Genomic DNA, 24,309 nt, shown 5'->3' on the forward strand with positions numbered 1-24,309 from the left:
GTTTTTTGTTTTTTGTTTTTGCTCAGTATAAGATAATGGTTCAGAATTCAGATCCTAGAATTGGATCTTTCCTTTGTCATTTACTAATAAAGCACTTATCCACTCTGAATCTCAATTCTTCATCTGTAAAATATTATTATGCATCTTAATAATATGAAGATTAAAAACCTAGCTCAAATGTATTCCAAATATTTAATGAATGTTCACTGATTTTTACTACTACTAGCTCTCTTATTCTTTTTTATTTTTAATTGGCTCAATTTGTGTTACTTTGAAGCCAAAAGCAAGCCCTCCCCCATATTTCAAAAGTAGTATCTGAGACCATCCTGGCCAACATAGTGAAACCCCGTCTCTACTAAAAATACAAAAAATTGGCCAGGCGATGGTGGCGGGCGCCTGTAATCCCAGCTACTCTGAGGCTGAGGCAGGAGAATCACTTGAACCTGGGAGGCGGAGGTTGCAGTGAGCCAAGATCGAGCCACTGAACTCCAGCCTGGGCGAAAGTGCGAGACTCTGCCTCAAAAAAAAAAAAAAAAAAAAAAAAAAAAAAAGAAAAGAAAAGAAAAAAGAAAAAGAAAAGCAGTATCTCCTATTAACAAAGAAAGTTGAGCAAAAACTGACCTGGGACCGCTTTAATAAATACGGACTCCAGGAAGGAGATACTGAGACCAGAGTCGGTCCCACAGTATATTCGTATCAGATTTGGGGCTTAGAAACTTCTAAACTCTGAGCGCCCATAAGCAAGATGAGATTCTGCCTTGTACATGGTCGTAGCTCCAGGGGACAGAATAACGGCTTACACATAAAAGTGACAGAATACTGAACATTAGCTAACGGATGCTACGCTGCCTGAAGGTAAGTCTAGTGCTATTTCCAATATCTCCGAGACTTGGTTTTTCCACCGGAAAATGGAGATTAAAAATAATGCCCATAGGTATGAGCTAAGAGGAGTGTAAACAAAACAAAATAAAAAGCAATGCCCAGTGATTGGAGGATTTGATGAGATGATGCCCGCGAGGTGCTTGGCACGGAGTTTGACACAAGAACTCAGTGTTGGTGAATGCACGAATGCAGGTACCCAGCGACAGGGAGGTGCTGTGGGTGGATTCACCCTGGCTTCGCTGCGGCTGGGAGTGGGCGCTGCTAGTAAGAGATCTCGCCTCCAAGCTCCTTCCGTGGGCAGGAAAAAACGGAAGCTCCCAGAAAGAGGAAAGACAGGACCCGAGCGGGGTTTCAGGCAGATGGAGCGCGTCGGTAGCCTGTGGCCAGGGATCCCAGCACCGACGGGAAAGAGGAGGCCTGGGTACCCTGCGCCCCGGGCGCGCGCGGCGCGTGAGGTGAGGGGGAGGGCGCGGCTCCGCACCAGCCAGCGGCCGCCTGGCGCCCAGCCGCATCTCGGGGGGCGGGGTTGAGCCTCCGGGCCGCAGTGCGATTGGCGGAGGCGAGTGGGTGACGCCAACGGCCGGCGCGAGGCCCCGCCCCCGGCTTGCCCCGCCCCCGCGCGCGCCGGCGGCGGGGCAGCCTCGCTCTGGCTCGCGCCGCGCCCCCGCGCCCAGTCCGCGCGTCAGTCGGTCCCTAGCGCGGCTGCGGGGCGGAGAGCTGCGGCTGGCCCAGCGCGCCCACCTGAGGAGGCGGCGGGGTCCGCAGGCGTCGCGGGACGAGGAGATCGGAGCCGGGAGACTCGCGCAGCGCCATGGCCCCCATTGGCCTCAAAGCTGTTGTCGGAGAGAGTAAGTGGAGCCGGGATCCTTCCAGCAGGCGGGGACTGCGGCTCCCGAGGAGCCCCGCGCGGCCCCTGCCGGCAGCGCCCAGGCCTCCGAGCGGGCTGCCGGCCCTGCGCCCCGGGCCTGAGGCTCCTGGTCCGTGGGGTCCCGTTATTCAGGCGCCGCCCGCGCGAGAGGAAGGCTTGCCCCGCTCTCCCCTCCCTCACCTCATGTTTCACCCCAGCCCTCCCCCTGCAGCCCGCCCTCCTCCCTCGCCATCCTCCTTCCTCGCGGTCCCTGTCTCCCTTTTCCCTGCATCCTCCTTCCCCTCCATCCCTCCCTCCCTCTCTTCCCTTCACCCCCATTTCTCTCCCCTCGCCCCATCCTTCCCCCTTCCTCCACCCCTCCCTCACCCCACTCTCTCCATCCCGCCTCTCCCCCATCCCACCCTCCTTCCCCCTCTTTCACCCCCAACACCCGTCCCTCTCCTTCATCTCGCCTCTACCCCCTGCAGCCCGTCACCCTCCCCCGCACCCCCATCCTCACCCCCGTTACCTTCCCCTCAGTCCCCTCTCCCCTTCCTCGTCTTTATTCCTTGAGCGCCCAGACTCCGCTCCCTTTTCCTGCAGTCCCTCCTCCTCCCCACCCTCCTGGGTGAGTCGTGACGAGCGAGATCCTGGCCTGCGTCCTCCTCCCCCGCCCCGGGCCGCGCCGCGGTCCCTGGCTGCGAGACCCACCTGGGAGACTAGGCGCAGTGGCTTGGCCTGGGGAGGAGACGCCTGTTTTCCGGAGGCTGAGCTCTGCTGGGCCGGGGCCACCTCACTCCTCCCCTTCCCGGGGCTTGGCTTCCAGGGCGGGGACTTATCAGGATCCTGAACCCCTGAAATCACTCGGGAGATGAGGAGAGCTTCGGTGTCCGCCGCCCAGCGCCGCAGTCTGCAATCTCCCTGGTTGCGGGGCTCTGCCCTGCCGTGGCCGAACGCTTCGGGAGCTCAGACCACGGTGGCAGGGAGGAAATGGTTGTTTATGGGTTTGGATGAAAGGCACCACATGAATGGATTTTTAAAAGTGGGTGGCGGCGAGTGGCGGCCGCAGCGGAGCGAGGGCTGATGGTGGGTGACATTTGCAAAACGGCATCCACAGTGCTAAATAAGATTGGTGATATGTGTGGAAAAACAGTGCCTTGTCAATATTTTGTCCATTTCTTTATAACAAAAAAAATGTGTAAGGATTGCTGTGGCTTTTGCTATCTCTTTGGGGATTAAGTGAAGATTAAAACTGGGCTTTTCTCTGTAGGAGAGGATAAGAAAGGAAAAAGAATAAAATGGTGGAAATCTAGTTTCCTTTCCAATGATTCTCTCCTATCGTAGCGCGCGCTCGCTGTGGAATGCTTTTGGCCATGTAGTGTTCTTGTTGGGCACCATAGCTGTTTTATTTCCCCTCTCCATTCTTTTCATTGATATATAGGAAATACTCCTACTGAGGAATCTAGTTGTAAAACCTTATCTCACCTATTACATCAGAAGAAAATTGTTATAAAAACTGAACACCAAATGAAACAAAATTTTAAAAGGTGCTCATCGTAACACCTTCATTGTACCCATGCAGTACGGGTTCTGATACTTGTACTCGAGATGTTTAGGGCTAGGAGGACCCATAGGGATCCTCTAATGTCAACATCTCATTTTACCCATGAATAAGAAATGGAGACTTAGAGCAGTTAAGTGACTTGACACAATCAGTGTTAATTTGGTGAAACCTGGTGGGCATTTCCTTGCAACATTAGTAAAAAATAACTTTCTTCATTATTCTGTATGTATCTTTTCTTTCCAATATCCTTTTAAAGCGTGAAATATAGAATAGAATGTTACAGGTTGTATTCTTTAAAATGTTACATTTGTACTTTGGGAGGCTGAAATGGGAGGATTGCTTAAGCCCAGGAATTCAAGATCAGCCTGGGTAACATAGTGAGACCCCATCTCTATAAATATAAAAGTAAAATAAAATGGTATATTTGAACACTACACATTGAAGATAAAATCCTCAAGTGTTATAGAAATCAAGTTTTGCATCATTTTGCTGGAACCCTTGTTTATGCAAGTGGCTCCATAATCCCCTTCCCCCACCTTTAATTAGAAGCAAGCATAAAGGTAAAAAAAAATCAATATGCAAGCATGGTCAGAATTTACTTTCTGAAATAAAGCAAACCCATTGTACACAAAGATAACAAAGCAATTTTACATAAAATTGGTGAGGATGGCTAGGTGCAGTGGCTCATGCCTGTAATCTCAGGACTTTGGGAGGCCGAGGCTGGCGGGTCACCTGAGGTCAGGAGTTCGAGACCAGCCTGACCAACATGGTGAAACCCTGTCTCTACTAAAAATAAAAAAAATTAGCTGGGTGTGGTGGTGGGTGCCTGTAATCCCAGCTACTCGGGAGGCTGAACCCTCGCTTGAACCTGGGAGGCAGAGGTTGCAGTGAGCCGAGATCGTGCCATTGCATGCCAGCATGGCAACAGAGCAAGACTCCATCTCAAAAAAAAAAAAAAAAAAGAAAAGAAAAAAGAAAAAAAAATGGTGATTATGTGAACAGAGTTCTATTCCTATAACAATTAGGTATAAATTTTAGAAGAAAAATGTTGAAATCCTTTGTCAATGACGCAGGTTAATTCTGGCTTCTAATTTTGGATAGGGTTTCTAGCTTTGCCCTTTTCTCTAAAAGAGGCTGAGGCAGAAGAATTGCTTGAACTGGGAGGCAGAGGTTGCATTGAGCTGAGATTGCGCCACTGCATTCCAGCCTGGGCGACAAGAGCCAAACTCTGTCTCAAAAAAAAAAGAACCTAATTATACATTAAAAACAAAAATGACAATCAAGTAGAGCTTATTTCAGAAACACAATAGTTCAATATTAGAATGACATTAAGAAATGAAAATTTTAAAACTATATAATCTTCTCAGTAGAAACTGAAAAACAAGTTAATCTGCTTTTAAAAACAAAACAAAAACTCCTAGTAATCCAGAACTAAAAGGAGTAGTTTAAATGTCCCTGTAGAGAAACCTCTAACCTCCCCAATCCCATCAGGCCTCCCTGTAATCACGGTTCCCTGGACTTTCCTTTGTAATTCTTATCACAGTTGCAATTAATAAATTATTTGTACTAATTGTAAGACCATAAGTTCGCTGGGGGTAAGAACTAGTGTCTAGCACAGTGCTGTCACAACAAACTCTAGGAATAAGTCTAATAGGAAGTTAGCAAGACCTTCATAAATGGAGAAGAATGCTATGTTGCTTTATGGAAGAATATGAAAAAATATCAGTTCTTGCTAAATTAACCTATACATTTAATAAAATTCCTACAAAAGTCCCAACATTCATCTGGAATGGTAAAGGCTAAGCTAAGAGGAGCTAAGAAATTTTTGAAAAAAAAAGAAAATGGGAATTTTCACCTACCAGATTCAAAACATACTGTAAAGCTACGATTACCAAAACATTGTAGCACTACCAGATGAGAGGGAAAGTGAAAAGATCAATGACATAGAACAAGAAGTCTAGAGTAGGTCCAGATAAGAATCCCATATATGGCAAAGGTAGCATTTTAAGTCAGTGAGGAAAGGAAAGAAAACTCAACATATGATATTCAGGCAGTTGGCTACATTTTGATGGGGAAAATAAATTTACTTCTGTACTTCACATGTTCACAAAAATAAGTCCCATAGGGATTAAATAAATAAAATGATAAAGGTAGTAGATAATAACAGATGTACTTTTCCTTATATTATTGTGCAGGAGCTTTCTAAACATTATTAGAAAACATTAAGGAAAAGACTGACAGATATGACTATACTTCTATTCAGTAAAAACACCAAAAAGCAATTTGAAAGACAAATAAGCTTGAAAAGTATCTGCAGCATATAACAAAGGGCCGATATCTATTTATCTATCTATCTGTAGAGAGCTTCCTTAAATTGTTTTTAAAAAAAACTAAATAAAAAATAGACAAAAGACATCTATTAGTTATCTATTGTTGCATAACAAATTACACCAAAACTTAGCAGCTTAAAACAATGAACATTTATTGTCTCAGACATCCTGAGGGTCAGGGTCTGGGAGGGGAGCAGCCTGGCTGGGAGGTTGTGGCTCAGGGCCCCTCAGGAGGTTACATCAATGGGCTGTAGCTATCTCAAGACCAGACCAGAGCTGAAGAATCCACCTCCAATGGCACTCCTGTTGTTAGTGGGCCTCAGTTATCCAGCAGGCTGTTGGCCGGATACCTCAGTTCTTTGCCACAGGGGCTTCGCCTGGGAAGCCAGCCGGCTTCCTCCAGAGCCAGCGACCCAAAAGAGATGGAGACCTGGAGACCGCAGTCTCTATAACCTAATTTAGAAGGGCCATCATCACTTTTACCATATCCTATCCATCACACAGACCAATGCTGGCACAAAGTGGGAGGGGACTACACAAGCGTGTGAATACCAGGAACCAGGGACCACTGGAGGCCATCCTGGGGGCTCTCTTACCCCAGAATGAAAACAAGAGCTCCAGAACTGGGCTAGGACACAGTAGAAAAGCGGGGAGGAGAGCAAGCCCAGCAACCAGATGCCTTCACTTTACACACTTCTGTATTTGATTTTCTTCTTTAAAATGTATAGTGTGCTCTACTTTTATAATTTAAAAAATAAAGGTTTTAAAAATATTTTTATTAACAGGAAAACAGAGAATGCCTCTCTGGTTCTGTCTGGGTATCACCAAGTTCCCCAGATTGTGCCAGGCTCTAAGTCATAATAAGAATGACCACCTACTGAGAACCTATGATGTGCCAGGCACTGTCCTAGTCACTTAAATATACTATTCCTTTTTTTTTTTTTTTTTTTTTTTTTGAGACAGAGTCTTACTCTGTTGCCCAGGCTGGAGTGCAGTGGTGCGATCTCGGCTGATTGCAACCTCCGCCTACTGGGTTCAAGCAATTCTCCTGCCTCAGCCTCATGAGTAGCTGGGACTATAGGCGCACGCTGCCACGCCCGGCTAATTTTTTGTATTTTAGTAGAGGCGGGGTTTCACCTTGTTGACCAGACTGGTCTTGAACTCCTGAGCTCAGGCAGTCCGGCCTTCCAAAGTGTTGGGATTACAGGCGTGAGCCACTGCGCCCAGCCAAATATACTATTCTTAACGCTAAATGTCCTAAGTAGATATAACTGTCCCCATTTTAGAGATGAGGAAATTCAGGTACAGATAAAGTCACTTAACAGTGCACACAAGTAGTAAGGCTGGAATTCAAACTCGGGCTTCTCTGGCTCCAAAAGGCTGAGCTCTTCATTAGACCAGTCCCCTTGCCCCTCGATGCCCTGTGTAACCCACTAGAAGAGTGGGTAGGAGGAAAGCCATCAATCCCGGAGCACCAGGGAGACACACAAAAGGCCCAGACTCCGGGACTGAAGAACTGCTGCTGACAAAAATAGTTATAAACATTCCTGTCCATTTGGGATCATTGTGGGTTGGTATTAGAACAAGCTGGACATCCTAATGTTCCAGGCAAGCAGAAGCTCTCTGCTTCAGACCGTATACTTTCTAATAATGTAACTAGCCAAAGCTAGTCATAAAAATTCTGAATCACTGGTCAAGAAACACATTTTCTCATCATCCCCTCTATAGCCACCCCTCCAACATTTTCCCCTGATGATTGAATTCTAAGGTTCCCTCACCCCTGCTTTTCTCTGCCAGGGGATGAAGTGAGTAGAAGGAGGCTTTGTCTAAGGACTGTGAACTCCTCTTACCCTCTCACTGCACTCAGCAGCCCGAGAGGTGAGTTCAGGCATCATCCACTTAGCTCTTCTAGGGCCAAATTATAAGTGGAAAGCAGGAGAGATCAGAGGTGTCAGACTCAGTCTATGAAAGACAGATACTCCTCTTTTTCCTCAACCTCCCTCACTAATCCCCACCCCCCCGAATAAATACACTGACAAAGCGTTGAAAGTTGCACTTTCCAAGTCAATTCAGTCTCTCTTATGAAGTGGCTTCAGTATTTATCAGGTTATAGATTATGATCAATTGGTCTGAACTTTGAATCTAAATCTAAAAATTATTGCTTTGCTTCGAGTAAAACTGTAATAATAAAAACTAAATCTATTGATCACTTATTAGGTGCCAGACACTGTCCTAGGCATGTCGTATGTTGTCATTTAATCCTCAAAAAGATCCCATGAGTTACTCTCATTAGTCTTCTTTTACTCTAAGGAAACAGAGGCTGAGAGAGTTTAGGATAATTCCACAAGGTTATCAATTTGTCGTTATAATGTTTGTATGTATGTATGTATTATTTTGAGACAGAGTCTTGCTCTGTCTCCCAGGCTGGAGTGCAGTGGCACTATCTTGGCTCACTGCAATCTCCGCCTCCCGGGTTCAAGTGATTCTTCTGCCTCTGCCTCCCGAGTAGCTGGGATTACAGGCGTGTGCCACCACGGCTGGCTAATTTTTGTATATATATATGTATTTTAGACGGGGTTTTGCCATGTTGGCGAGGCTGGTCTTGAACTCCTGACCTCAAATGATCCACCCACCTTGGCCTCCCAAAGCGCTGGAATTACAGACGTGAGCCACCGCCCCAGCACTGTTGTTATAATGTTTTAGTAACTAACATTTACATCACATCAACAAGTGCTAAACACTAAACTAAGTGCTTTGTGTATGCTAACTTGTTGAATGTCTATAGTTACCCTGTAAGAGAGGTGTATTCCCTGCGCTTTATGGATGAGAACATTGAAGTCAGGTGAGGAATGTGCGCTAGGTCCCATAGGTGAGAAGAGGCAGATGCAGGATTTGGACCCTGGTAGTTTGGCTGCAGCATCAGTCTTAATCTCAACACCTGTCTTCTCAGATTTGGATTCTGGCTCACAGGCTGCAGAGCCTGTACTTCTTTTTTTTTTCTTTTTCCCAGAGACAGGTTTCTGTTGCCCAGGCTGGAGCACAGCGGCGCAATCATAGCTCACTGCAACCTCAACCTCCTGGGCTCAAGCAATCCTCTTGTCTCAGCATCCCAAGTAGCTGGGACTACAGGCATGCACCACCATGCTCAGTTAATTAAAAAAAAATTTTTTTTTCTTCAAGACGAAACCTCGCTCTGTCACCAGGCTAGAGTGCAGTGGTGCGATCTTGGCTCACTGCAACCTCCGCCTCCCGGGTTCAAGCAATTCTCTTGCCTCAGCCTCATGAGTAGCTGGGACTACAGGCATGTGCCACTACGCCCAGCTAATTTTTTGTATTTTTAGTAGAGATGGGGTTTCACCATATTGGTCAGGATGATCTTGATCTCTTGACCTTGTGATCCACCTGCCTTGGCCTCCAAAAGTGCTGGGATTACAGGCGTGAGCCACCGCACCTGGCCAATTTTTAGAAAAATTTTTAGTAGAGATGAGGACTCACTATGTTGCCCAGGCTTGTCTTGAACTCCTGAGCTCAAGTGACCCTCCCGTCTCAGCCTCCCAAAGTGCTAAGATTACCTAGAGCCTGTATTCTTAACCTCTCTTCCTTGGTTTTTGATACTTGAAAATCTTTTTTCCCTAAATTTTTCCAAAAATGTACAGGATCCAAGTGGCAGACAGGTCCTCCGGATTCTATTCCGGGTTCTGCCCCTGACTCATGGGTGACACTGGGTAAGTCACAACTCTGCCAACAAGACACTGAAACTTGCACTTTCCCTCTACTAATTATTTAATGTACTGCAAATCCTGCTTGACCTTAAGTACAGGAGAAATTTGACTTGTAAAAAGAGATAACTTAGGCCAGGCACAGTGGCTCACGCCTATAATTCCAGCACTTTGGGAGGCCAAGGTGGGAGATTCACTTGAGCCCAGGAGTTCAAAACCAGCCTGGGCAATATAGTGAGACCTCGTCTCTACAAAAAATTTAGAAATTAGCCGGCCGGGTGCGGTGGCTCACGCCTGTAATCCCAGCACTTTGGGAGGCTGAGGAGGGTGGATCACCTGAGGTCAGGAGTTGAGAACAGCCTGGCTGACATGGTGAAACCCCGTCTCTACTAATAATACAAAAATTAGCTGGGTGTGGTGGCACACATCTGTAATTCCAGCTACTTGGGAGGCTGAGGCAGGAGAATTGCTTGAACCCGGGAGGCAGAGGTTGCAGTGAGCTGAGATGGTACCACTGCACTCCAGCCTGGGCAACAGAGTGAGACTCTGTCTCAAAAAAAAAAAAAAAAATTTAACCAGGCATAGTGTCCCCGATCTGTAGTCCCAGCTACTCAGGAGGATTGCTTGAGCCCAGGAAGTCAAGGCTGCAGTGAGCCAAGATCATCCTACTGCACTCCAGCCTGGGAGACAGAGTGAGACTCTGTTTCAAAACAAACAAACAAAAAAAAGGTAACTTTAGGCTGGGCGTGGTGGCTCATGCCTGTAATCCCAGGACTTTGGGAGGCCGAGGCAGGTGGATCACCTGAGGTCAGGAGTTCGAGACCAGCCTGGCCGACATGGTGAAACCCTGTCTCTACTAATAATACTAAAATTAGCCAGGCATGGTGGCACACACCTGTAATCCCAGCTACTCAGGAGGTTGAGGCAGGAGAATTGCTTGAACCCAGGAGGGGGAGATTGCAGTGAGCAGAGATCATGCCATTGCACTCTAGCCTGGGTGACAAGAGAGAAACTCCATCTCAAAAAAAAAAAAAAAAAAGAGGTAACTATTTGGCAGTGCCTCAAAAAGTTACACATAGAGGGACAGGCACTGTGGCCCACACCTGTAATCCCAGCACTTTGGGAGGCCGAAGCGGGCAAATCACGTGAGGTCAGGAGTTTGAGACCAGCCTGACCAACATGGCGAAACCCTATCTCTACTAAAAATACAATATATTAGCCGGGCATGGTGGTGCATGCCTGTAATCTCAGTTACTTGGGAGGCTGAGGCAGGAGAATCGCTTGAACCTGGGAGTTGGAGGTTGCAGTGAGCAGAGATTGTGCCATTGCACTCCAGCCTGGGCAACAAGAGCGAAACTCCATCTCAAAAAAAAAAAAAAAAAAAAAAAAAGTTACACATAGAGTTACCATCTGACTCAGCAATACCACTCCAGTGTATATAATCAAAAGAAATGACAGTATACATCCACACCAAACTCATATACAAATGTCGCAGCAGCATTATTCATAACAGCCAAACAACTCAAATGCCTATCAAGTGATTAGTAGATGAGCAAAATGTGGCCTATTCATACGATGAAATATTACTCAGCCAAAAGAAGGAATGAAGCACTGACATAGGCATGAAGCACTCACATAGGCTACAACACAGATGAACCTTGAAAACACGATGATGGCCGGGCGCGGTGGCTCCTGCCTGTAATCCGAGCACTTTGGGAGGCCAAGGCAGGTGGATCACCTGAGGTCAGGAGTTCTCGACCAGCCTGGCCAACATGGTGAAACCCTGTCTCTACTGAAAATACAAAACTTAGCTGGGCGCAGTGGTGGGTGCCTGTAATCCCAGCTACTCAGGAGGCTGAGGCAGGAGAATTGCTTGAACCCAGGAGGTGGAGATTGCAGTGAGCCAAGGTTGTGCAATTGCACTCCAGCCTGGGTGACAAGAGCAAGACTTGGTCTCAGAAAAAAAAAGAAAGAAAGAAAGAAAACATGACACTAAGTGAAAGAAGCCAGATACAAAGGCCACATAGTGGATGCTCCCATTTATATGAAGTGTTCAGAGTTGGCAAACCCAAAGACAGAAGGTAGATTAGTGGTTGCCAGGGGCTGGGGGAGGGCAGAATGGGGAGGGATCGCTAGCAGGTACGGGGCTTCTTGTCGGGTGATGAAAGTGTTCTGACCAGCTACAGGGAGCCAAGATCATGCCACTGCACTCCATCCTGAGTGACAGAGCGAGACCCTGTCTCAAAAAAGTAAATAACGTAAAATGGCAAAGCTTATGTGAATTACATCTGAATAGTAAGCTTTCAGATGTTTAAAAAAAAAAAGAGAGAGCAAGCTAACTTGAAAGGTAAGCTATTAGCCCAGTTGACACATTTGTCCTGAACTTTTCCCTGTAGTATCGCTTAAATGCACATCATCAAGGAAGTCCTTTTAAAAGAGTGTCAGTTGGAAACATTTACATTGAGACAGAGGACTTCAATATTTAATTGCATGGCCTGGGTCTCCAGGGAGGAGGTTGCTTAAATATGAGCATTTGTTTTACTTCAAAGTTAAATACAATTCTGTGGGTGACCTGTCCATGTCACAGTTTCTCCATGCAACTGAGACAGTTTAGGGGGAAAGAAATCATCCCTATCTGATAACAGATTTACTAGGATTTTTTTTTTTTTTTTTTGAGACAGAGTCTCACTCTGTCACCTAGACTGGAGTACAGTGGCACAGTTATGGCTCACTGCAGCCTCAACCTCCTAGGCTCAGGTGATCCTCCCATTTCAGCCTCTCAAGCAGCTGGGACAATAGGCACACACCACCACATCTGGCAATTTTTGTATTTTTTTTAGAGATGGGTTCTCGCTGTGTTGCCCAGGCTAGTCTCAAACTCCTGGGCTCAAGGGATCCTCCTGCCTCAGCCTCCCAAATTGCTGGGATTACAGGTGTGAGACACTATGCTTGGCCTATTATCTTAAGAAAATATCCTAAATGTGGTTTTGGAAGAAAAAAGAAAACAATTTTCCTAGGAACAATGTAGGAAGGTAGAATAGGTATAAAAGCAAAGGTGAGGCTGAGTGCGGTGGCTCATGCTTATAATCCGAGCACTTTGGGAGGCTGAGACAGGCTGATCATCTGAGGTCAGGAGATGGAGACCATCCGGGCCACCATGGTGAAACTCTGTCTCTACTAAAAATACAAAAATTAGCTGGGCATGGTGGCACGTGGCTGTAGTCCCAGCTACTCGGGAGGCTGAGGTAGGAGAGTCACTTGAAGCCGGGAGGCAGAGGTTGCATGGAGTCAAGATTGCACCACTGCAGTCCAGCCTGAGTGACAGAGCAAGACTGTCTCAAAAACAAAACAAAACAACAACAAACAAAAAACTAAACTAAAGGCAAAAGTGACTTTAAAATACAAAATACTCATCCAAACAGATGTTGCTGTTACACAGGAGTAAAACCTTGGTGACTTGGGTTGTGCCAGCATTGCTTTCTTGGCTGCTGAGTTATGGGAATAGCCAACAGGTCCCAGGAAAAAGGACCCCACAGCAGGGAGATGAGGGGCTCAAGGCAGCAACTACATACCAACCCGTATGGAAGACTTCCACTATTTTAGTATCAGCCAAACTGATGTGTACCATCAGGATATCAACTTTGGGTTCAAGAATACATAATGTTGAGAAATTTGGGAAAGACCTGTAACAGTCTGGGACCTGAGAAGATGCCATACATATGCAATTTAATTCCACAGAGCTATTTGTTGCCTGCCTGCCATCTATAACTATTCTAGGCACTATGGGGAATGGCAAAAGAAAGAGGACACAGTCCCTGCCTTCAAAGAACTTATGACGTATTATTTAACAAGGAAGCAAAACTTTTGACCAGGTGTGGTAGCTCACGCCTGTAATCCCAGCACTTTGGGAGGCCAGTGTGGGCGACTGTTTTGAGTCTAGGAGTTTGAGACCAGCCTGGGCAACATGGCAAAACCCCATCTGTACGGAAAAAAAAAAAATAATATATATATATATATATATATATATATATATATATATATATATATATTAGCCAGGCATGTTGGTGCACACCTGTGGTCCCAGCTACTTGGGAGGCTGAGGTGGGAGGATTGCTTGAGCCTGGGAAGTGGAGGTTGCTTGAGCCTAGGTTGTGCCACTGTACTCCAGCCTGGGCGACAGAGCAAGACGCTGTCACACACACACGCGTGCACACACACACACACACAAACTTTTAACAAATAACTATAACAGGCCGGGCATGGTGGCTCATGCTTGTAATCCCAGTACTTTGGGAGGCCAAGGCGAGTGGATCACTTGAGGTCAGGAGTTCAAGACCAGCCTGGCCAACATGGCAAAACCCCATCTCTACTAAAAATACAAAAATTTGCAGGGCATGGTGGCACATGCCTGTAATCCCAGCTACTTGGGTGGCTGAGACACGAGAATTGCTTGAACCCGGGAGGCAGAGGTTGCAGTGAGCTGAGATCGCACCACTGCACTCTAGCCTGGGCAACAGAGCAAGACTTTGTCTCAAAAAAACACAAAAACCAAAAAAAACCCCTATAACCTAATGCAGAATGCAGAAAGTGCCATAATAAAGAACTGAGGCCGGGTGCAGTGGCTCACATCTGTAATCCCAGCACTTTGGGAGGCGGATGCGGGCAGATCACGAGGTCAGGAGATTGAGACCATCCTGGCTAACACGGTGAAACCCCGTCTCTACTAAAAATACAAAACAAAATTAGCCAGGCGTGGTCGTGGGCACCTGTAGTCCCAGCTACTTGGGAGGCTGAGGCAGGAGAATGGCGGGAACCCGGGAGGCAGAGCTTGCAGTGAGTCGAGATCACGCCACTGCACTCCAGCCTGGGCAGCGAGCGAGACTCCGCCTCAACAATAACAACAACAACAAAAAAAAACTGAATGGCGTCTAAAGAGTGAAAGGAGAAATTTATTTGATTTGATTTGATATTTTTTTTGAGACAGAGTCTTGCTCTATCACCCAGGCTGGAGTGCAGTAGCATGATCTCGGCTCACTGCAACCTCCGCCTCCCAGGTTCAAGCAATTCTTCTGCCTCAGCCTCCCGAGTACCTGGGATTACAGGCACGTGTCACCATGCCCGGCTTATTTTTGTATTTTTAGTAGAGACAGGGTTTCCCCATGTTGGCCAGGCTGGACTCAAACTCCTGACCTCAGATGATCCGCCTGCCTCGGCCTCCCGAAGTGCTGGGATTACAGGCGTGAGCCACTGCAGCTGGCCTAAAGGAGAAATTTCTATTCCAGATAGGAAAGAGAAAAATATCTTGTTGGGAAAAACAGTATTAACCAGATCTTGAAGAATGGGGACATTCCCAGGATGAGCAAGCTATATTAGAATCCTTTTAAAAAATAGAAGTTCTAAAAGTATGACACTTTTAATTAATAAACTGGAAACGAAGACACAATCGGACCACTCAACAATAGTGATTTTTAAATTTTAAATGAATTATCTAAAAAGACATAGGCCAGACACGGTGGCTCACACCTGTAATCTCAGCACTTTGGGAGGCTGAGGTGGGCAGATCACGAGGTCAGGAGTTTGAGACCAGCCTGACCAACATGGTGAAACCCCGTCTCTATTAAAAATACAAAAATTAGCCCGACATGGTGGTGAGCGCCTGTAATCCCAGCTACTCGGGAGGCTGAGGCAGGAGAATCGCTTGAACCTGGGAGGCGGAGGTTGCAGTGGGCTGAGATCGCGCCACTACACTCCAGCCTGGGTGACAGAGCGAGATTCTGTCTCAAAAAAACAAACCAACCAACCAAAACAAACAAACAAAAAAATATACATTCTACAACTGTAGTTGTGATCCCCTTTCTCATTCTATCCTGTTTGTGTATTATTTTCATGGAAATACTTGCTGGAAACTTACTTATTTTACTTTCCTTTAAAAAAAAATCACTTTTTTATTTTTTGAGACAGAGCCTCGCTCTGTCTCCCAGGCTAGAATGCAATGGCACAGTCTTGGCTCACTGCAACCGCTGCCTCCCAGGTTCAAGCGATTCTCCTGCTTCAGCCTCCCAAGCAGCTGGGACTATAGGCACGTGCCACGACACCCGGCTAATTTTTTGTATTTTTAGTAGAGATGGGGTTTCATCATGTTAGCCAGGATAGTCTCGATCTCCTGACCTCGTGATCCGCCTGCCTCAGCTTCCCAAAGTGCTGGGATTACAAACATTAGCCACCGCACCCCACCAAAATCAGTTTCTTCTATATTGTGTGTAGCTATTCTAATTTATTGAATAAAATGCTGGGATAATTTATTAATTTTTCTTTGTTTTCTACTAAAAGCATCTAAGGATATGAATTTTCATCTGAGTACAGCTTTGGTTGAATCCCATAGGTTTTTTTCCCCTGCTCCATAGTTTTTATTTTTATTTTTATTTATTTATTTTTCAGACAGAGTCTCTCTCTGTTGCCCAGGTTGGAGTGCAGTGGCATGATCTTAGCTCACTGCAAATCCATCTTCCGGGTTCAAGCAATTCTTTTGCCTCAGCCTCCCGAGTAGCTGGGATTGCAGGCATGCACCACCATGCCTGGCTAACTTTTATATTTTTAGTAGAGACGGGGTTTCACCATGTTGGTCAGGCTAGTCTCGAACTCCTGACCTCAAGTGATCCACCCGCCTCGGTCTCCCAAAGTGCTGGGATTACAGGTGTGAGCCGCTGCGCTCAGTCCTGCTTCATAGTTTTTAATATCCAATATTTTTGCCATTTCTTTTTTTAAAAAATTATTATTTTGTTATTTTAGAGACAAGGTCTCAGTCTGTCACCCAGGCTGGAGTACAGTGGCATGATCCATAGCTCACTGCAGCCTTGACCTTCTGGGCTCAAGCCCCCTGAGTAGCTGGGACTATATTTGTGTGCCACCGTGCCTGGCTATTGCCATTTACTTCTAAATATAGTCCTTTGTTTTGAAGTGGATGTCACTCTCATAACTGGTGATAAGTAGTTTAAATTGTGGCAAAATTTCCCTAAGAGGTGGTTTGGGACTCAGGCATCATCATCAAATGTAAGAGAGCACGTATCTGCCTCTAGTATCCAAGAAGGGCTTATTGAACGTGCAGTGAAAGGTTTTCCCTCTGGCTTTTTTGGCGCACAGCACCTCTGAGACAAACAGGTGCTTGAAAGCTAATGAAATATCTTTAGTGGAGTGGTCAGGCCAAATTTTATAGTTATCACTGGCAATGTAACAGCCATAAATTTTGAGTCCTGGTCCTGTGCTCGCCTGTACAGGAAGTGCTTTGGGAATCCCCAGTATGATCCTCTTTAATTGCCTCAATTAGTTGCTTCTCTGCGAGGCTGTTGCAAGAGCTAAAGTTAGAGTGAGGTGACTGAGACTCTGTTTTCCTTTCAGCAAGTATGAGGTTTACTTACCTTTTTCCATGTCTTTTTTCTTTTTTATTTGTTTTGGAGGGAGGGGTGGTGGTGGGAGATAGGGTCTGGCTCTGTCTCCCAGGCTGGAGTAGAGTGGCACAATCACAGCTCACTGCAGCTTTGATCTCCTGGGCTCAAGCGATTCCAGCTGGGACTACAGGTGTGTGCAACCACACCTGGCTGATTTTTGTATTTTCTGTAGAGAAAATACATGTTGTCCAGGCTGGTTTTGGACTCTTGGGCTCAAGCAGTCTACCCACCTTGGCTTCCCAAAGTGCTGAGATCACAGGCATGAGAGCCACCGTGCCTGACCTTTTTTGGTTTTTTGTTTGTTTGTTTGTTTTTGTTTTTTTGTTTGTTTTTTTTTGAGATGGAGTCTCACTCTGTTGCTCAGGCTGGAGTGCAGTAGCATAACCTTGGCTCACTGCAGCCTCAACCTCCCAGGCTCAAGCCATGCTCCCACCTCAGCCTCCCAAGTAGTTGGGACTACAGGCATGCATCACCATGCCTGGCAGATTTTTCTTTTCTTTTCTTTTCTTTTTTTTTTGTATTTGTGTATTTTTTGTATAGATGGGGTTTCACCATGTCACCCAGGATGATCTTGAACTTCCAAGCTCAAGCAGCATTCCCACCTCAGCCTCTCAAAGTGCTGGGATTATAGGCACGTGCCACAGCACCTGCCCTGATCTTTAACTTTTTTCTTTTCAACATCCACCCATCTCTATCTGTCACTTTATTTTATTTATTTATTTTTTTCTTGTGAGATAGAGTCTTGCTCTGTCACCCAGGCTGCAATGCAGTGGAGCAATCCTGGCTCACTGTAACCTCCGCCTTTGGGGTCGGGGTGCAAGTGATTTTCCTGCCTCAGCCTTCTGAGTAGCTGGGATTACAGGTGCCTGCCACCTAGTATCCAAAAAGGGCTTATTGAACGTGCAGTGAAACGCCTGGCTAATTTTCGTATTTTCAGTCACGACGGGATTTCACTATGTTGGCCAGGCTGGTCTCAAACTCCTGATCTCATATGGTCCTCCCGCTTTGGCCCCCCAAAGTGCTGGGATTATAGGTGTTAGCCACTACACCCAACCTCTACCTTTCACTGATGTCTACTAATTATTTAGTCTACGAGCAAACCTTATTGGAAGTGAATGAGATATTAAGTATTTATTACAGTAGGAAAACCTGTTTTATTCTTGGAAAGAAAAAAATTTAGAGGGAGATAAAGAAAAGTGGAGAAAAACAAACAAAATTAAAAAAAAATCTTTGGAGCCTGGATGTGTGAATTCAAATTCATGCAGATTTGAATCTGAGTCTCCAGTAGCCACCCCTTATTTGGTGTCCTTCTGAGATGTTAGAGAACTCCAGGACCATAAATTATAGTCTGTGTTCATTTCAGCATGGCTCAGCAGGGTCTGGGACCAAGTGTTTTCATTCATCCAACCAATATTTGCGCTGTCTCTACATGCCAGGAGCTGTGCTGCATGGGCAGCAGAGATAGTAGTGTGTAAGTAGACCGGGTCCTTGTGGGATTTAGACAGACAGTGGTGACGCAGCAGGAATGTGCCCTGACAGGGCAATATAGGTAATGCTGAAGCATGTGGGAAGCCCCCAGGAAGGCCTGGGCATGAGCGGGGCAGAGTGAGACCTGCAGGATGAGGAATTAGCCAGGCAGGAGATGGGGTCCGTGGGGCCTGGGGGAGAGGAAGGTCTAAGCTTGGCAAGAAAATGAGAAAGGCTGTGGCTGGCTGGAGCTGTGGGGAGTGTGTGGAGAGCAGTCGGAGAGTTGCCAGGGCCTGCTTAGCCTTGGTAAGGTCGTTTATCTCTCTATTCCAGCAGCTGTGGGAAGCTACTGAAGGTTTTGAGTTGGGGAGAGGCATGGTTAGAATTGAGTTCAAAATGCTATCTGGTTGCTGTGTGGAGAGTGGGCGGGAGGCAGTGGGAGGGAAGAGGCTGTGGTGCTGGTCCTAGCTGGGGATGTGATGGCGAGGATGGTGATTTATGCCAGGGAGAGAGCAGCAGTGTTGGGAGGGGGACCCCAACTTGAAGGCATCTTAGGATGCAGAAGGGTCAGGTCATGGTGATGGCTGTGCAGGAAGAGGAGAGGAAGAGTCAGAAATGAATCCCAGTTTTCTGGCTCGGGCGGCCAGTTGGAAGGTCATGCTGTGCATTGAGAGATGAAAGGCGGAGAAGAGACAGGTTTGTGGGGGAAGATGAGGTTTTGTAGGCACAGGCTTCAGGTCCTGTGGACCACCTGCGGGGGATGCTAATGGGAGCAGGCAGACATGCTTGAGATTGGCAGTCACCCGGTGCCAGAGTGTGGGCAGGTCAGATGCACAGGAGAGTGGGAGAAGAGGGCTGGGATCTCACCCCGTGGGACACTGGCATTTACAGGACAGGCCCAGGGAGAGCAGCCAGCAGGCCTGAGTGTCGGAGGGGAAAGGTGAGGCTCACAGCAGTGTCTTATGATTTTGTGACTCATGGGACCCAACCTCAAACTGAGCCAGTGCAAGCTGAGCCAGCCACCAGGAGGCTCCAGTTTAGGAACAGCCCCCACTCTCTAGGCTGGGAGGCTTGGCCGCTGGAAACTTCTCAGGAGTTTGCCTGTCTGTGGTGTTGCCCCTGTGTTTTAGACAACACTTGCCTGTGTTAACTTCCTTGCTCAGGATTGTTTTAAGGAGGAAATGAGGAAATGGTTATAGTTAGTCGACGTGCAAAACTCTGAGCATTTGGGCTTTATGCTGTGTTAAAATGGCATCAGATTGGCTGAGTGTGGTGGCTTATGCCTGTAATCCCAGCACATTGGGAGGCCGAGGTGGGTGGATCGCTTGAGCCCAGGAGTTCAAGACCAGCCTGAGCAATGTGGCGAGACCCTGTCTCTACCAATAAATAAATAAATAAATAAAGTACGAAAACTAGCCAGACATGGTGGCACACGCCTGTAGTCCCAGCTACTCAGGAGGCTAAACTGGGAGGATCACTTGAGCCAAGGAGGTCAAGGTTGCAGTGAGCCATGACACACCACTGCACTCCATCTTGGGGTGCAGAGCAAGACCCTGTCTGCTGTGGTTTTGTTCTGTGTCCCCACCCAAATCTCATCTTGAATTGTAATCCGCCTAATCCCTACATGTCAAGGACAAGACCAGGTAGAGGTAATTGAATCATGGGGGCAGTTTCCCTCATACTATTCTCAGATAATGAATGAGTCCAAAGGTTTTATAAGCGTCTTGCATTTTTCCTGCTGGCACTCATTCTCTCTCCTGCTGCCCTGTGAAGAGGTGTCTTCTGCCACGATTGTAAGTTTCCTGAGGCCTCCCCAGCCATGCGGAACTGTGAGTCAATGAAACCTCTTTTCTTTGTCAGTTACCCAGTCTCAGGTATTTCTTCATAGCAGCATGAGAATGGACTCATACATCATTTCAAAAAAAAAAAAAGATGGCATCAAATTGTAGAATCTTGGCTCTGGAAAGGATCTTAGAAGAATCTAGTCCAGACCGTGACCCAGAGTAGGAAGTCAGATTGTGCTAGTCTATTAGCTTGATCACATTGGCCAATTTTTTTCTTCTCTGTGGCTGCTGGGGATACAGTATTATCTTCATGTTCCACACCAGTGTAGAGTCACAATGGCAAGTATAAACCATGAAGAGTGTGTGGAGGCAGAAAGGCTGTGGCTCTGGACTCTAGTTGGTTCTAATCCAGTCGCAGTTGAGCCTCGTGAGCCTCCTTTATGGCAGTAGGAACAAAGCTGCTTCATTTTGGCAGTGAAGGGAGGAAAAAGGAAGAAAATTTAGGCTTAAACTGTTTTTGGAGCCCCCATACTGGGTACGACAAGGTGAACCAAACCCCACTTATCTCTTCTGTCAGTTTCTTCTGAGCATTGGTGTGGTCAGGATAGCATTGGAGAGGAGCCCCCTGCCCAGTCTCTGGACACATTGGTATTGATGGTTCTATTTGCTAAGGACTTGAAGAAAACAAAACACTGGTGGTAAGCAAGAGTCACCCTTCGCTCTGGGAGAATTTCACACTACAGGCTTTAAACAATAGACTACAGTGAGGCATAGCCCTTAAAAATCACTTAATCTGCAGACCTCCTTGTATTGGGGGTCAAAGTGCTGCTTCAGGATTTTAGGATGAGGCTATTACTTGACTACTCAGAATGTTTTTCAGTTTGCTTTCCCTTAGATAATCTTAGGGTGGATTACCCTGGGGGGTGACTCTGGCTCATTCCTCAATAATCACTAATTGACTAGCAAGAAGATCCCTTAAAAAAAGTCACGAGGCCAGGTGCGGTGGCTCACACCTGTAATCCCAGTGCTTTGGGAGGCCAAAGTGGGCTGATCATCTGAGGCCAGGAGTTCAAGACCAGCCTGGTCAACATGTTGAAACCCTGTCTCTACTAAAAATACAAAAAATTAGCTGGGTGTGGTGGTGGGCACCTGTAATCCCAGCTACTCGGGAGGCTGAGGCGTGAAAATAGCTTGAACCCAGGAGGCAGAGGTTGCAGTGAGCTGAGATCACAACACTGCACTCCAGCTTGGGCAACAGAGTGAGACCCTGTCTCAATACAAAAACAAAAACAAACTGATTGGGAGCTCTCACCCTGTGGATGGGCCTGACCTGGATAGGCTGTTTGTTGGGGAACTCCCGGTGTCAGCATATTTAGATTTTTCTTCTTGGTCTCTGATTCCCCAGAAAGGTCTTCTTTTGTCTGCTGTCTGGGAGATAAAGGTCTGGCTACCAGAATTCTGGGAACTGACTGGATGAGATGAGCTGACAGTGGGTTCTCAACAAGCTTTATGCCCCTCTTATTCTTTTTTTTTTTTTTTTTTTTGAGACAGAGTCTTGATCTGTTGCCCAGGCTGGAGCACAGTAGCATGATCTCAACTCACTGCAAGCTCCGCCTCCCAGGTTCACGCCATTCTCCTGCCTCAGCCTCCCGACTAGCTGGGACTACAGGCGCCCACCACCATGCCCAGCTAATTCTTTTGTATTTTTAGTAGAGACAGGGTTTCACTGTGTTAGCCAGGTTGGTCTCGATCTCCTGACCTCGTGATCCGCCCGCCTAGGCTTCCCAAAGTGCTGGGATTACAGGCTTGAGCCACTGCGCCCAGCCACCCCTCCTATTCTTTTAAGTTCCAGAGGCAGCTGGTGCTGCCAGTTCCTGAAACTTTTGAGGATTCTGCTGTGTACATTTGGTTGGTTTTCACTGCTCCCTACCACCAGATAAGGATTCCGCTTTCATGGGCCTACTAAGTCAGTTACAACGCATCTATTGTAGAAAATAAGGCGACAGACTCAGAATGTAAAAACACAACTTTATCATTTGTAATAACTGCATTCCAGGAAGGAAGGAGGGGAGTAGCCACCAGCCAGAGACTGGGGACCACCACGCCCGAGTTTCTTTCTTTTTTGAGACGGAGTTTCGTTCTTGTTGCCCATGCTGGAGTGCAATGGTGCAGTCTTGGCTCACTGCAACCTCCGCCTTCCGGGTTCAAGCGATTCTCCTGCCTCAGCCTCGTGAGTAGCTGGGATTACAGGCATAAGCCACCATGCATGGCTAATTTTTGTATTTTTAGTAGAGACGGGGTTTCTCCATGTTGGTCAGGCTAGTCTTGAACTCTCGACCTCAGGTGATCTGCCTGCCTTGGCCTCCCAAAGTGCTGGGATTACAGGCATGAGCCACTGCGCCCAGCCCTGAGTTTCTTAACACAGCAGAGCCTCTGGCTCTTTTGGCCACTTGTTTTTCTTTCTCACTGAGAGGAAATAGAGTCTCCTAAGAGAAAGAGTTTTGGAACACCACAAATCCAGGAATTTAATACTGAACTAGCCCTCAGCTCACTTTGAAGCAGGAAATCAGGTGAGGCTAAGGTCATGCCTTCTGACTGGATAAACCCTCCCGGACCCAGGAGACATCCTCACCTGCCCGGACCCCGGGAGGCATCCTGACCCTTGCGGACCCCAGGAGGCATCCTCACCCTCCTGGACCCCAGGAGGCATCCTTACCCTCGGGGACCCCGGGAGGCATCCTCACCGGAGCAATCTTTGGTATAGAACTTTTAACTAAATTACACAGTGTGGAGAGACAAGCTTCAGTCATTTCTCCACTACCCACTCAGTGCCTGGCGGAAGGCAGGCAGCACAGACCTTCATCCCAACGCACGAGGGGAATATTCAAATCATGCCTTAGGGGCACAGGGAAGGGAGTCAGAGACTGCCCCGCCTGTGATTTTGATACAAGTAGACAGATGATCTGAGAGAACAGCCTCTGGTCTAGATGATTTCAGTGGAAAAGAAGAAGAAAGATCCATGTGGAAACTTTGTAAACGTTTTATGACGGGAAAAGACAAGTGTAGCATTTAGGTAAAGAAGACCAGCACAGAGAAAACCATTTATCATTCTAACATAAAATGATCAACCAAGAGCTCAAATGTGATGTAATGTGAGATAACAGAATGAGGTGGAAAATGGCCTAGCAGGGGAATTCAAAAACAGCAAATCATGGCATTGCAGAATGAATAAACCAATTTTACACCATAAGAAGCAGAATCTTCGCTATAAAATATGGAAATTGCTTGAGAAATCACGCAGCCTGCATATTCATGAGCATTAGTGCTCCCCGTGTTTCTTTTGGATTTTTCGCGTCTTCTCTTCCTGGAGCTCCACCTCCTTCCCGTGCTCGATCTTTGGCCCCAACCCCAAAAGGATGTTTTCTTTTCCTGGTATCTTACTGTAGCCAGTTCCACAGGTTGGGGAAAGGAAGCCCTCTTAACACTGGCCCTTTGTGTGTGTGGATGGGTGGGTGGGGCATTTCCTGCCTTCTGGAAGCTTCCCTGGGGCTTTTGTCTTATGTGGGTTTGACATCAATAGCATGGCTGAATTGAGGGTTCCAGAGGGAGCGTGAGCTTATGGCCTTGTCATGTTGTGTGGGACTAAACATTTCCTAATATCTCAGATCTGTAGACCTGAAGCAGGCTAAATCTTAGAGCAGAACAGATTGGGCTGGTCAGAATCTTGGACTTGAAAATAAGACAGAGCTGAACTTGGTGACATGCACCTGTAGTCCCAGCTACTCAGGAGGCTGAAGCAGGAGGATTGCTTGAGCCCAGGTATTTGAGGCCAGCCTGGGCAACATGGTGAGACTCATTTCAAAAAAGAAAAGAATAGGATGACTGTCACCACCATGGTCATGGATAAATCATGTGATCTCTCCTGGATTCAGTTTCTTTATAAGATAGACTGCATCAGAATTTCTCAGTGTTGGCACTATTGACATTTTGGGCCAGATGAGCTTGTGCCTTGTGGGATGTTTAGCAGCATTCCTGACCTCTACTTGTAGATTCCCATATCATCCCCTAGTCGTGACAATAAAAAATGTATCCAGACAATGCTGACCTTCCTCTTGGGGGCGCAAAATCACTCCCTGTTGAGAACCACTGGACTAGGTGATCTTTTTTTTTTTTTTTTTTTGAGATGGAGTTCTGCTCTAGTTGCCCAGGCAGGCTGGAGTGCAATGGCGTGACCTCAGCTCACTGCAACCTCCACCTCCCTGGTTCAAGCG

The 24,309-nt window shown here is 46.8% G+C and overlaps 1 protein-coding gene across 12 annotated transcripts in view, besides 2 other annotated features; it reads left to right on the top strand.

Moving 5' to 3' along the window:
* STXBP1 (syntaxin binding protein 1) overlaps positions 1,202-24,309 on the top strand; it is an 84,118-nt gene continuing 61,010 nt past the window's right edge. For 11 of the 12 annotated variants that reach the window (NM_001374314.1, NM_001374308.2, NM_001374310.2 and 8 more), the window contains exon 1: positions 1,567-1,730. In NM_001374314.1, the coding sequence (NP_001361243.1) occupies positions 1,694-1,730 (37 nt within the window). In that variant the 5' untranslated portion in view covers positions 1,567-1,693. Of the gene's footprint in view, positions 1,338-1,566; positions 1,731-24,309 lie in introns of those variants that run through there. The other variant, NM_001374309.2, reaches the window with a different exon arrangement.
* Positions 1,288-1,877: a silencer, noted in NCBI's record as "silent region_20307". NCBI's record gives its function as "represses an Ori minimal core promoter by ATAC-STARR-seq in GM12878 lymphoblastoid cells {active_cell/tissue: GM12878}" and the evidence as "EXISTENCE:reporter gene assay evidence [ECO:0000049][PMID:35858748]".
* Positions 22,230-23,029: an enhancer, noted in NCBI's record as "H3K4me1 hESC enhancer chr9:130395219-130396018 (GRCh37/hg19 assembly coordinates)". NCBI's record gives its function as "activates a minimal SCP1, AML or CMV promoter by ChIP-STARR-seq in naive H9 embryonic stem cells {active_cell/tissue: H9 hESC(naive)}" and the evidence as "EXISTENCE:reporter gene assay evidence [ECO:0000049][PMID:30033119]".

The sequence above is a fragment of the Homo sapiens genome, chromosome 9, assembly GCF_000001405.40.
Source record: "Homo sapiens chromosome 9, GRCh38.p14 Primary Assembly".
Taxonomy (NCBI): Eukaryota; Metazoa; Chordata; class Mammalia; order Primates; family Hominidae; genus Homo; species Homo sapiens.